The following is a 14,076-nucleotide window of genomic DNA, read 5'->3' on the forward strand; positions in this document are numbered from 1 at the left end:
ATTATCTAAAGCCTTTATTTGTAAGTCTGTTGCTGTACGGTGCATCATGGTTAATTTGCACGTAAAACAGCCACGCCACAGTTGTGATGGTATGTCCATATATATAGCTCATAAAATTGAGAAGCTACCAGCATGAAGTTTTAGAGAAATGCAAAGATGCTCTTAATGAGGAAACTCAGGCTCAGAGAGGATAACTGAACTGCCTTTGATCCTATTTCACAAAGTGGCATCGTTTAGATTTAAATCCAAATCTATTTGAGTCCAAAGATTTTGCTCTTAACATCTTTGCTACAATAAGTGCTGTTTCAATAACATTATTTGTAAGGGTGCAAATTAATAAACAATATCACTAACATAAATTAATAGTTCAAAACAGGGCAAAACCTCCTGAGGTCAGGAGTGAGGCTGTACAGCCAGAAGGGTGAGTCCGGGGAGAGTGTTAGTGTTTGATGGTTTAAATATTAAAACTTTTTCAGCCATTTCAACTATCTTTATGTAATCAAATCATTTGGGTGTTGGACTATTATGCAGCTTAACTTCTCGGACTTTTAGTTCAAATTTCCCAAATGTAACCTCTATCCATGGTTCAAGGATATACTGATTAAACACTGCTGGACTAGAGATGTAGGTATTTGAACAAATTAGGTGATTATGTATGACCGCAGGAGATACTCAGAAACTTTGTTTTCTTGAATAAGTCCCTGTAAATCAGCTTGTTTTCTTGTTATTTGCTTCCTTCTGATAAAAATGAAGTGTAAAGTATGCTGTTACATAATCTCCTGGGCAATAAACATGGCTGCCTTTTGCAAAATTATCAGTTCAAAAATTTAAGCAGCTTTCTCCTAAGATGTTTCAATAAAAACTATCACCTGCACTTTCAACAGTGTTCTCTGACTTTCTAGCAACCCTGAAGTCATTCTCTATTTACAGGACTAGTAATTATTTTTAAACATTTCTTAAATCTGAATACAAGCTATCTCACAAATAGCATTTTGAGTGGTTGTTTTTATTTCTGTATTTAATGTATAGGAGCCTTAATGTGCTAGTTTTCTGGGGACTGGAAAATTGAGACTTTTTCCAACTTAAGAGAAATAAGGTTTAGAAATTAAACTATTTATTAGTGTTTGTTTACTATATGGCAAAGGTAAAGGAAATTAGAACCTGGCAAATCAGAGAAACATGCTCTGGATGAATTAAAGAAGGACACCTGGAATCAAAAGGAGGAAAAAAACCTTCCAAACATGTTTCTTCCAAAGTTCCAACACCTGCCTTTCTGACGTAAGCATTAGTGATTAAGTAGCAACACTTTAACATCACTAAACAGTGAGAGGTACATGCAAATGAAAAAAAAATTTATATGCTGGTTTCCAACCCAGTACTAGAACTCTTAACCCATTTATTCAACAGTTACCACATTTAGCTTCTTTATTTTGTTCTTACAGTAAATCTTATTGAAACTACAATTTTGATCTCATAAAAAATCTCAGTATTGATTCTAGATTAAGCTATCTAAACATTTTTGCTAAGCCAGATTATTTCAACAAGCACTTGCTAATTCATTACTGTTAAGGTTCTGTGTCTAATCAATCTATTATTAAACTTCTTTTCTTCTGCCTGAAATTTGTAGATCTTACCCTCTTATCCGTAGAAGTACATGCTATTTAACCAAAGAGAACCAAGAAAATGTAACTTTCAGAGTGCTGACACAGAAGTGGTAATTGGTTCATGTATAACACAGCTGAGGTAAAATAACTAATTTCTAAAAATATAAAAATGATCAACAGGGTTGAATAAAACCAGTAAAAGTGGTATAAAATAAGTCTAGTAAGGAATTTCAGCTCCAAGCAATTTCTCCAGCTTAGTTCGTAAGAAAACCCAATAACCATACCACTGTACTTCCAATCATGCCATTTAGCTTTCTCACAGTTACTATGTGAGACTGTAATAATCATTATTATGTAAATGACAAATACACTGATTAGAGAACATTAAAATCTGCAAAAGGCAGAAACAAAGGTATCACTTGCTCAAATCTGGTTGAAGTAATAAGACATGAAACCAGACACTTCCTTAAGATTTTCTTTCTATGAGGATGCAATAGGGCAAATGCAATGACAAAATTGAAATACAAAGAATTCCAATACTCAAACAACCAATATTAACAAAAATATCAGAGTACCATTACTGAATACAAATTCTCAATTTGTCAACTCTATCACTTCATTCTTCCTCTCTATTCCTGACTCCTTTTCAGCATACTAAACCCTCAGCTGTCCAGGCAGGACAACTGTCAATGTTGTCAACTGGCAACAAATATAACTAAAAATCTCAATTTGGCGCCCCTCCCTTTTATTCAAGGTATTTATCTTATTCTAGATAAAAGGTGTTGTATGTTTTTCTTAACATTGGAAGACCAATAAACATTAAGAATATTAATGCAACAGAAGTAAAATATTATACAGTTGTCCCTCAGTATCCTTGGGGGACTGGTTCCAGGATCCCCATGGATACCAAAATCCACACATACTCAAATTTCAAAGTTGGTCCTGCAGAGCCCATGTATATGAAAAGCTGACCTTCCATATATGCAGGTTTTACATCCCATGAACACTGTATTTTCAATCTGAATTTGATGCAGAACCCACTAATACAAAGGACTGACTTTACTGACTTAACGGCCAATTGTATATTGCCACTGTCTATCTCATCAATTCCATTTTATTAACAGATACGATAAAGACTTTATAGTTTCAAAAGATGTACTTACCTATTAAAAAGCAAAACAGTGAGGTGAAGGATAACATCGTTACCACTGGACACTGTTGGCTTCATTGTCTGAATATATCTGAGGGCTTGTCTGTGCTCGCCCTGACTCATGAATGCCTGAATAATCTTTGAATGTTGCCATGACAAAGGTTTTGCAGTAGCTGGATGAAACAAAAGATCCAAACCACTCTGGAAATAACATGAAAAATGTTAAATATAAATATAATCCTATACATTTAGACAAAGTAGGTAAACCTAACACTAAAAACCACAAAAATCCAGATAAGACTCGTTTAAATATAAGCTGAAAAAATCTACTTTAATCTGTGCTATATAGAGTTGGCTCTCAGTATCTACAGGATCCATATCTGCAGACTGAACTAAGTGCAGATAGAAAACATTTGAAAAAATAAGGCTGGGCACGGTGGCTCACGCCTGTAATCTCCGCACTTTGGGAGGCCAAGACAAGCGGACTGCTTGAGCTCAGGAGTTCAAAACCAGCCTGGGCAACATGGCAAAACTCAAGTCTCTAAAACAAACAAAAGTAAGTTTAAACAAAAAAAGTGCAGTGGCTCATGCCTATAATCCCAGCACTTTGGGAGGCTGAGGTGGGCAGATCAGTTGAGGTCAGGAGTTCAAGACCAGCCTGGTCAACATGGTGAAACCTCGTCTCTACTAAAAATGTAAAAATTAGCCAGGTAGGGTGGTGCGTACCTATAGTCCCAGCTACTTGGGAGGTTGAGGCAGGAGAATTGCTTGAACCCAGGAGGCACAGGCTGCAGTGAGACAAGATCGTGCCACTGCACTCCAGCCTGGGTGACAGAGCGAGACTCCATCTCAAAATAAATAAATAAAAATAAAAAATAACAGTATAATGATAAAACATAATACAAATAAAAACAATACAGAATAAACTATTCACACAGCATTTACATTGTATTAGATGTTATAAGTAATCTACAGATGATTTAAAGATCAAGATCTAGAGATGACTTAAAATACCCAATGAAATGTAAATACCATGTAAATAATTGTTATAGTGTAACATCTAGGGAATAATGACAAGAAAAATGTCTGTACATGTTCAGTACAGACCCAATTTTTTCCCCTGAATATTTCTGATCTACAGTTGATTGAAGCCACGGATGTAGAATCCATGGACACAGAGGGCCGATGGTATACAAGAGGATGTGCATAGGGTATATGCAAATACTATGCCATTTTATATAAGAGACATGAGCCTCTGTAAATTTTGGTATGTTTCTGGATCCTGGAACCAATTCCACACAGATACTGAATGATAACTGTATTTTAAAGAATAAAAGCTTTATAAAAAACCTGATACCTCTAAGACCCTATCACACTATTTTATAAGATCTTCCCATCACCAATTTCATATATCAAGGCCAAATCTTGCCTTCCATGGTTCCCCCAACACCCCAAACATCTCTCTAATATTAACGATCACTGTATCTGAACTATCGTAATTACTTACTTATTAGTTTCCTTCTTTAAACAGTAAGAAACCTGGGGTTCTGAATTATCTTTATATTCTTGCCTTCTAAAATAGTGCTTGGTAAAGGTACTGATTAAACTGGGTCCTTCCTCAACTATTTTTAGTAGACTGTATCATATCTTTTAATACCAAATTTAAATTATGTGTATTTTCTAAAATTCTAGTAATTCATGAAAGTTTATGCTGTAAGTGAATAGACTTACCTCATAGTCATTATGATCTATCAACCAAAACCCCTGAATAAGTTTAACTTGGCCCCAAGAAATGGCAAATACAGTTGGGAAAGATTCAATGGGAGTGTCTGTTTTGTTGGGAAAGGAATACATAATATCAAGTAGCAAATAAATGGTCTTTTAAAAAGCGGATTAAGGACAATAAAATACAACAACAAAAACCTCCTACGTATATATTTACAATAGGTAGCAACAAAATGTAGCATTAAAAGAGACTTGAAATGCCTGTTTTTAGTGTTTAGAAAGCCATCATGGAGAGTCAGCAATGAGAAGATAGTTTTAGTAAATGTGGGTACAACCAGTCCCGCACCAACTTCATTCATTCTCAGTATTTTATTATCAGCACCACAAAGGAGATAAAGCGTATTTTTATGAAGTCAGTAGCTCAGTAAATACAAGAAACAAAGATATACGCAAATTTCTAAAGATCTAGCAAAAGATGGCAGCTTAATCAAACATCATCTAGCTTATAAATTATAAATGGAATTATACATTTTTAGACTAAGTAACTAACATTAGCACAAAAATATTATCACAAAGACTATAGGACTCAAATAATGCCTAAGGTAGTATCACGCTAACTTATAATGTATTCATTTCCAGCACAGAGGTTAATGCCATTGATAGTGACCACTTGGTGGTAGTATTTTAGAGCAACTGTTGTTAACTTTTTGAGTGTCTTGGACACATTTAAGTGTCTGATAAAAGCCAAGTACCCTATACCTAGAAAAACAAATAAAAAACAAAATTTTTCATATAGTTTTAGGTTGATCACAGGCCATCTGAGCCCAAACAACAGATCCTGGGTTAACACCTCTTCTTAAGAAAACAAAACCAAAATTCAACCTTGCAATTAGATATGTCAGGTTTCCACTACTCTTGAAATTTTATAATTTTAGTAATACATGAAACACTGGATAAAACTTAAAAGGATACAATAGAGTGTTTGGCTGCTTCAGTAACGCCGTCTAATAGGTACATATCAAGTACTGCCTATAAAACAAAGGGATAAAACCTTCAGTGGATCTTATACAGTCATTCATTCATTCATGCTTCTTGTTTTCCCAAGTTTGTGCCAGACACACAGCTAAGCATGTCTCCTCCCTCCCCAGCTTTGTAGACTCTAAATGATAGCACATTACTGCAAACCTACATGCAGACTAGCAGGAGGATATTTTCCTGTGCCTCCTTCATCTCGTTTCCACAACTTCTCAATTCGCTCTCCTAACTGAGAAACCAGTCCATCAATCATCAAGCAATCGGGATTCCACTTCCCTCTGCAATCAGGGAAAAATTAAGACTTATTTAATATCACTGTTAATTAATATCAAAGCAACCAGCATCAAAATATTAAAAGTAATAATCCCAACTATCAAAGAGAGAAGAGGCTGGGCATGGTGGCTTATGTCTGTAATCCCAGTGATTTGGGAGGCCAAGGCAGGAGGATCAACTCAAGGTCAGGAGTTCGAGACCAGCCTGGGCAATACAGCAAGACCCCAGTTCTAAAGAAAATATAAAAACTAGCTGGGCATGGTGGTGTGCACCTGTAGTCCTAGCCACTCAGGAGGATAAGGAAGGAGGATCGTTGGAGCCCAGGAGTTTAAAGTGAGCTATACACATGCCACTGCACTGCAGCCTGGGCAACAGAGACCCTGTCTCTAAAAACAGAGAGAGAGGAGAGAATTGGGAATTTGACCCTAGTTAGCATGATGAGAACTACAGACATCAAGGAGAGTTAGTCGGATAAGCCCTTAATTTGCCTCAAGTTCAGTCATCAACAAGCCAGTCAGTCAAGGTGAGGTCCCCATGTGGTCCATCCAGCCAGTGACCATTCTATTTTTCACCATATTAAGCAAACTACCATAAAGCCCAGCGTAGTGAAAATAATGAAGTTCAAAGACAGAGAGTTAAAGTTTCTGTTTCATCACTTGGGTTAGTCTTTTATCCTCAGTGATTCCTTCACTCGAATATCTATTGCTGAGTGCCTATGATGCAACGTGCAGGTATGGTCCCTATTTCCTTTTCTTTTCTCTTCTTTTTTCCCCTGATTTCCTTTTCTAATTGTGAATAGCGGCAGCACTTACTACTCTTTGCGGTTGTCCAATGAGCCAGGCACTGCACTAGATGTCCTGCACATACTATTTTATTTAGCTTTATACTGACTTTATAACTTATATAACAAGCAGGATTAGAAAGCATAACAAAGCTGCCAAGGATATACACTTAGGAAATAACAGATCTAGAATTTTAAAATATGCCTAGTCAATCTCCCAAGCTAATGTTCACTCTCCTAAATTGGTCATTCTAAAGCACTGGTTCCCACAATTGCCATGCATCAGAATTACAGCCGGCACAGATTTTAAAGTACTGATTCCCAGGTGATTCAGGTGTAAGAAACCTGGAATCAACGTTTGTGGCACTGCTCTAAATGTTATATGCTTTGTAATTTTGTCACTGCAACTCGAGGAAGACGACTATTTCCAGAAGTGTGGTCAAGACTCTCAACACCACTTTCTTTGTCTATTACCTTTACTTCATTTCAAAGGAACTAAGTAGGTTATTCGTGTACTTTTTTAAAAAAGAGAAATAAAATAGTAATGGTAATAGCAAATTCTGATACTTAACTGAGAATTCTACCCATTTAATCACTTTGTAAAACGATGAACACTATTCTGAGAAACTTTGACTTCTTACAGATGTAATTTCTAAAATTGTTTTACTATACCTTGATAAACGCTCAAACTTCTGTCGACGACTGGTGTAGTAGTTCTGAATTACAGGGTAGTTGTAGCATAACCTTGACAACTGCACAGAATCATCTAGATTTTTAAGAGTTGGAAAAAAAGCTGGTAATAATCCCCAAATATCTCAACAATACATATTAATATTTTACTGTAATTTAATATTTACAGCAACCCCTGGTTAACCCACAGGGTGGGTATATTTAGGTAATAAAAGATTACTACACATCTTTTTATTTACAGAGGCACAAGTGAGAAAATGATCTGTCATGAAAGTCTAACTACATGGATGGGGGCTTAAAATCCTGGAAACTGTTCTAAATAACTTTACTCCTTAGGCACAAATAATAATTTGAAAGCAAGAAATGTTCACTACAAATCAAAATCTAAGAGAATTATGAAAAAATAAGATCAACAATTATGTACAGTGGCAGAGGCACTTCTAAATAAAATCTAATGGCTTCCTGGAAATGCAAGAAGCTGAAGGCTTTGCAAGTTATATTCTAAACAAATATAGCACAAGTCAAATACCAAAAATTATCTTATTGTTGGTACTGGCATAAATCACTAGATAAAAGGGGGTATTTAATTGAAGAAATATTAGTCAGTAACCATATTAAAAGGACCATTACCAGGAAACAGGAAAACTGAGTTATAGAAACTATAGTTCTATGGATCTAAATAATAGCTAGTAATATTGCTGAACTCATTTTCAGGAGCTATGTTTTCTCAAATTTGCTTTCCTTCTAAATGTTATTCAATCCAATAAACATGTATGAGCACTGTGTGTCAGGCATAGGATGAAGATACAAAGTAAGGAAAAATGTAAGAAAAGAAGGTTAAGCATAAATTAAATTAAGGAGAAAAATAAGTGAGGTGGAAGAAAAGAAACCCAAAGCATTAGAATACAATAACAAAATTATAAAGATTCAGAATGTTTTAATTAATACTTATAGATTAAGTAAATATTTTACCTATGCCTTCTGGTAAAAGCCCAGAATGAGAGAACCAAAGAACCACTTGTGCATACTGACAGATGAGGTGGGAAACCACAAACTTATTGCTTAAGTCTATCAGTCCTGTAAAGAAGAGTTAACATCAGTTGTTTACTTACAAAAAAATCAAGATGCTCCACAGTTTTCAAAATTAATCACTTGGTAATTTACATAATTTGTAAATATATATTTTACATATACATATTTGTTCAAGATATATGTATCTCTCTTGAACTAATTCATCTTTGTATTTAGTTTACTTTGGTCCAAAATGATGTCAAGCAAACCTCCAAAATGCTAAAATAAGTAAGTCACTCCCTAAAATAGACATTTTAGGTAAATACACTTTCACCTCAGCTACACTTTCATTTAGCTAATTCCAGAACTCAGATTTACTCATTAATACAAACTAGCATAGTATCACTAATAAAGATTGTTCAAAACAGGCATTTAAATGAAATTGGCTTGTTTTTGTTTTGAAATTGCAAAACAGAAAAAATTTATGAGTTCTTTGAATAAAAAATACATATAACTTAATTTGAAACTTTACTGCAAATACATTAATCTTAATAATCATTAACTTCAGAATTTCCCAAGCTTATTTAAGCATGGGCTCATGGCATGTCTAACAACATTCTGTAGCTTTTCATTAAAACAAAGAAACAAACAAAAACCCTAGCACTGGAGAAATAAAGTCCTCTTTACATAATGATCCATCTAAGACATGGGAAATGTTATTCGTTTCTCTTAGTCAAGAAGTAAAATTTAATAAAACACTCATTTGATAAAACAAAGAGCGTACCTCTCTCAGTGATCTCTCGGGCTTCTGATGCAAAACAGCTCAAGACTATATTAAGATTGCTAAGAAGCAAATAGCATTGCTGGATAGACTGTATAGTTTGTGGATCCATGAAATGACACGAACCATCAAATAATGGCACACCTTTCAAGAATAAAAGAAAAGATAAGTTTCCATACAGTAAATCTAAATAAATTAGAATCACAATGCAAAATTTCTCAAACTCCTATCACTCAAAAGAATTATTCTATTCATTATGAGATTTATAAAGACAAGCTAGAAATGGCAAAACCTCCAAGGAACCTAAAAAGTGCTTTCAATATAAAACTAGCAAAAGCCAAGAGTGAGACTATGAACTCAAATCATCTATATCTAGAGCTTGTCCTCATAACCAGCACACATCAAAAGACAGGGATTTACTTTAATGACACATTTAGTTACATCAATATTTAATGTGTCACTGGTCTAGAAAACAACTGTCTTCATTCTAAAATCCTTCTTTAAATCAAATTCTAATTTGTTTTACTTTTTTTTTTTTTTTTTTTTTTTTTTTTTTGGAGACAGCATCTTGCTCTGTCGCCCAGGCTGGAGTGCAGTGGTGCAATCTCAATCTCCGCTCACTGCAACCTCTACCTCCCAGGTTCAAGGGATTCTCCTGCCTCAGGCTCCTGAGTAGCTGGGATTACAGGCATGTGCCACAACACCCAGCTAATTTTTGTATTTTTAGTAAAGATGAGGTTTCACCATGTTGGCCAGGCTGGCCTCGAACTCCTGACCTCAGGTGATCCGCCCGCCTCGGCCTCCCAAAGTCCTGGGATTACAGGCATGAGCCACTGTGCCCGACCTAATTTGCTTTACTTCTAATACTTTTTTTGAGATAGGGTCTCACTCTGTCACCTGGGCTGGAGTGCAATGGTACGATCACAGCTCACTGCACTCTCAAACTCCTGGGCTCAAGTGTTCCTCCTAGCTCAGCCTCCCAAGGAGCTGGGACTATAGGCATGTGCCACCCTGCCCAGCTAATTAAAAAAAAGATTTTTTTTTGGTTTTGCAGAGACGGGGGTCTTGCTATATTGCTCAGGCTGGTCTTGAACTCCTGGCCTCAAGCAATCCTCTCATCTCAGCCTCCTAAAGTACTGGGATTACAAGCCTGAGCCACCACACCTAATCTCTAATACTTTTAAAACACTTACTATGCTTTGTATGTTAATTATTCTTAGAGGTTTTTATTTTTATTTTTTAAAAAACCCAACCTACCAGTAACAAAGGTCAAAGCAGCAACAGCTGAACTACCAAGTTAAACCCCCAACACTACATTATTCTCAAAGAATAACAAAACTCAATTTATGAATTGAGTTTAATTTTTTACAAAACATGAGCTCTGACAAACATTTTCCTCTTAAAAAAATGAGGACATTTTTACTCTGATCCTAAACACCTGATAGTGTTCTTACAGACTTCAATCACACTGATTACTGAAACACTTAAATTATTTCATGACAACAGTTTCATAAGTATAGTCTAAAAACACTAGAAAGCGCCATGTCTTCCTAACGAACTTGATTGGTTTAAAAATCCTCTACTAAGAATAACTTAACTTACATTGTGAAAAGCTATCTATAGTCAAATCATTTCAAAAGTCCATTTGTTTACTCATCATGACACAAGAGAAATGACTAAAACATTTACCTCTAAATAAATTTTACTTTCACTTACAGTGCAACTGTATCCCTACTAGTACTTTTTAGCCTTATTTTTGCACTAACTGGACATGATAGTTTTTAATATTCATGACATACCTCAAGACTCAATCGAAATGAACAACAGATTAATAAAACTGTCAAGAAGGAAAATGATTTGCCACAATAATAACGACATCTATCCATGGAGGACAGCAGTGATGCATTTTTACCCTGCCATTCAACTTCATCATTTCTATCAATATGTTAAATAGAAAGTGAGTTAAGTACAGAAACTTCTGAGGGTTACCTAGCACATTCCGCTTACTCCATCATCAGTATATTTAGTAAATTAAACTCCTAAGACCAAAAGACAAGTTATAATCCTAAAACCTGCTATTGTAGGCATATCAGCATGTTGCCAGTTTAATGACCTGCTGCAAAATCTTGGTCAAAAATTACTTTTGGCTGGATGTAGTGGCTCACGCCTTGTAATACCAACACTTTGGAAGGCCCAGGCAGGAGGATCGCTTGAGGCCAGGAGTTCAAGACCAGCCTAGGCAATATAGTGAGACCATGTCTCTACAAAAAATACAACAATTAGCTGGGTGAGGCAGCATGTGCCTGTGGTCCAAGCTACTCAGGAGGCTGAGGCAGGAGGATGACTTGGGCTCAAAAAGTCAAGGCTGCACTGAGCCATGAACTCACCACTGTACTCCTGCCTGGGCAAAAAGTGAGACCATGTCTCAAAAAAAAAAATTACTTTTATCACTTTAATGTAAAAAGAAATAATTTTCTTTTGGGACATCTTCAAATTTTAAGAGTTTAAAACTTCAGGCCAGGCGCGGTGGCTCACGCCTGTAATCCCAGCACTCTGGGAGGCAGAGGCGGGCGGATCACAACGTCAGGAGATCGAGACCATCCTGGCTAACACGGTGAAACCCCGTCTCTACTAAAAAATACAAAAAAATTAGCCGAGCGTAGTGGCGGGCAGGAGAATGGCGTTTGAACCCGGGAGGTGGAGCCTGCAGTGAGCCAAGATCGCGCCACTGCACTATAGCCTGGCGACAGAGCAAGACTCAGTCTCAAAAAAAGAAAAGAGTTTACAACTTCAAAATGATTAAAAATTATGTACTTAAGACATAAACCAAGGTTAGTATTTTAATATTAAATTCTGTCCTACATCTAGACCTCTAATACTTACATAGTCTGTCAAATTCCTCTTTTGTGAGAACCACTTTATTCCACGTCCATTCAAGAACAAAGCGCAAATTAGTGGCAGAATTTGGTTGTTCTTATTTGTAAATACAAAAGGGAAAAAATAAAGATTATTAATTACAAACAGAGTTCTAAATTGTTGGTGGAGAAGCATGGCAGACAGCACCCTAACCGAGTGAACATCAACACTTCAGGGAGGCAACTTGGGAAAATGGACTTTCTCAGTGCACCACACCACGGAGCACGTCATTTCAGGTAATGCTGCCGCCAAAAATGCAAAAACTGTCATTTAATCATGAGGAGCGACGGCAAGCACAAACTAAAATGCAGTCTATAAAATAAGGCCTAATTCCTTTAAAAAAAAAAAGGTCAATTTTTTGAAAGACAAAGTGACAAAATGTACAAGATTAAGGGAAATTATAAAAACAATTACATACAAACTATTCTAGATCTCTTTTCCAAAAAACAAAATACAAAGCATGATTCTGAGCTCTCTCTACCCTCTAAATTGAAATAAAGGACATTACTGGGATTTCAATAAGGTCTCTAGGTTAGATAAAAGTCTTAATTTTCTTGATTTTTTATGATCACAAAGTGGTTTTGTAAGTGAATGTCCTTATTCTTAGAAGCAGCAATACTGAAATATTTATGGGCTACAAAAGCATGATGGCTTATCATCAAATGGTTCAGAAAAAAAACTATTCTCAAATGGTTCTGAACAGACAATATGCGTTTGGGGTGTGTGTGTGTATGTGTGTGAAGAGTAACAGTGATACACACAACAATTTGGATGAATTCCTAGAGAATTTTGCTGAGTAAAAAAGGTAATCCAAAAAGGTTACATACTGCATAATTCCATTTATGAACATGTTTAAAATGACAAAATTCTTGCCAGGGGTTAAGGATGGGGCAGAAAGAAGGTAGGTATGGCTGTAACGGCAGCATGAGGGATCCTGGTGGTGCTGACTGTACTAAAGGTTTGTCAGATCATCATACTGTGGGCAAACGTGCTAAAGGGGGTGGGATCTCTCTATTGCATCTTAACAACTGCATGTGGATCTTCAATTATATCAAAATTAAAATAACTAAGAAAAAAATATAACAAATAGCAAGTTGATAACTTTAAAAATACCAAACATTTTACTTGTTATCAGAATCTTACCTTCTGTTATCCATCTTCGGATATAACCAGTCAAAAGTCCCAGGGAACTAGTCTGAATTGCTGCTGACAATATAGCTTCTAACTGTTCTTCCTAAACCATGCATTACAGAAAGGAAAGAAATGGAAAGAAAGAGGGTGTGAGATCATAGGCAAGTTCTGGTTTAGAATTTAAAAATTTTAAGGCTAAAAAAATCAGTATGACCCATAAGAAGGGCTATAATCAAAAGACAATAACAAGCATGGTAAGGACGTGTTAAAACTGGAACTCTCATACACTGCTGGTGGGAATGTAAAATGGAACAGCCACTCTGCAAAGCAGTTTGGCGGTTTCTCAGTATGCTAAACATAGACTTACCACACGACCCTCCAATTCCACACCTAGGTATATACCAAAAAGAAACAAAAATACACGCCCAAACAAAAATTTCACATGAAGGTTCACAGCACCATTATTAATAGCCATAAAGTGGAAACAACACAAATGCCCATTAATTGTAGATAAACAAATTATGGTATGCTCATACAACAGAATATTATACAGCCATAAAAGGGGATGAAGTACTGATACTTGCTATAATACAGATGAACCTTGAAAACATGCTAAATGAGACAGTCACAAAAGACTTCATATTATTTGACCCATTTATATGAAATGTCTAGAATAGGTCAATCTATAAAGACAGGAAAGTAGATTAGTCATTATGTAAGGCTGGGTAGGATGGGGCAGGCAGGAAGGTAAGGGAAAAGGAGTGACTGTTTATGGGCATAGAACTTTCTTTAGAAGTAATAAAAATGTCCTAAAATGGAATGTGATGACAGTTGCAGAATTCTGTGAATTAAAATCACTGAACTGTACACTTGAAATATCTGAACTGCACGGTGTATGAAATATCTCAATAAAGCTGATATTTTGAAAATCACTGAGTCTGGTTTAATATCACAGGAACCTATTAATTTCATTCATTAC

At 35.9% G+C, this 14,076-nt stretch overlaps 1 protein-coding gene across 9 annotated transcripts in view; it reads right to left on the reverse strand.

Moving 5' to 3' along the window:
• AHCTF1 (AT-hook containing transcription factor 1) overlaps positions 1-14,076 on the reverse strand; it is a 92,851-nt gene that overhangs the window by 43,628 nt on the left and 35,147 nt on the right. For all 9 annotated transcript variants that reach the window (NR_136586.2, NM_001323343.2, NM_001323342.2 and 6 more), the window contains exons 13-21: positions 13,110-13,200; positions 11,934-12,023; positions 9,054-9,194; positions 8,231-8,335; positions 7,241-7,334; positions 5,669-5,792; positions 5,452-5,508; positions 4,486-4,632; positions 2,768-2,955 (exon numbers count right to left, since the gene is read on the reverse strand). Coding sequence is in view for 8 of the 9 variants with exons in the window: in NM_001323343.2 (NP_001310272.1) it covers positions 2,768-2,955; positions 4,486-4,632; positions 5,452-5,508; positions 5,669-5,792; positions 7,241-7,334; positions 8,231-8,335; positions 9,054-9,194; positions 11,934-12,023; positions 13,110-13,200 (1,037 nt within the window). In the remaining variant the exon portion in view is untranslated. The remainder of the gene's footprint in view (positions 1-2,767; positions 2,956-4,485; positions 4,633-5,451; positions 5,509-5,668; positions 5,793-7,240; positions 7,335-8,230; positions 8,336-9,053; positions 9,195-11,933; positions 12,024-13,109; positions 13,201-14,076) is intronic.

Source organism: Homo sapiens, chromosome 1 (assembly GCF_000001405.40).
Source record: "Homo sapiens chromosome 1, GRCh38.p14 Primary Assembly".
NCBI lineage: Eukaryota > Metazoa > Chordata > Mammalia > Primates > Hominidae > Homo > Homo sapiens.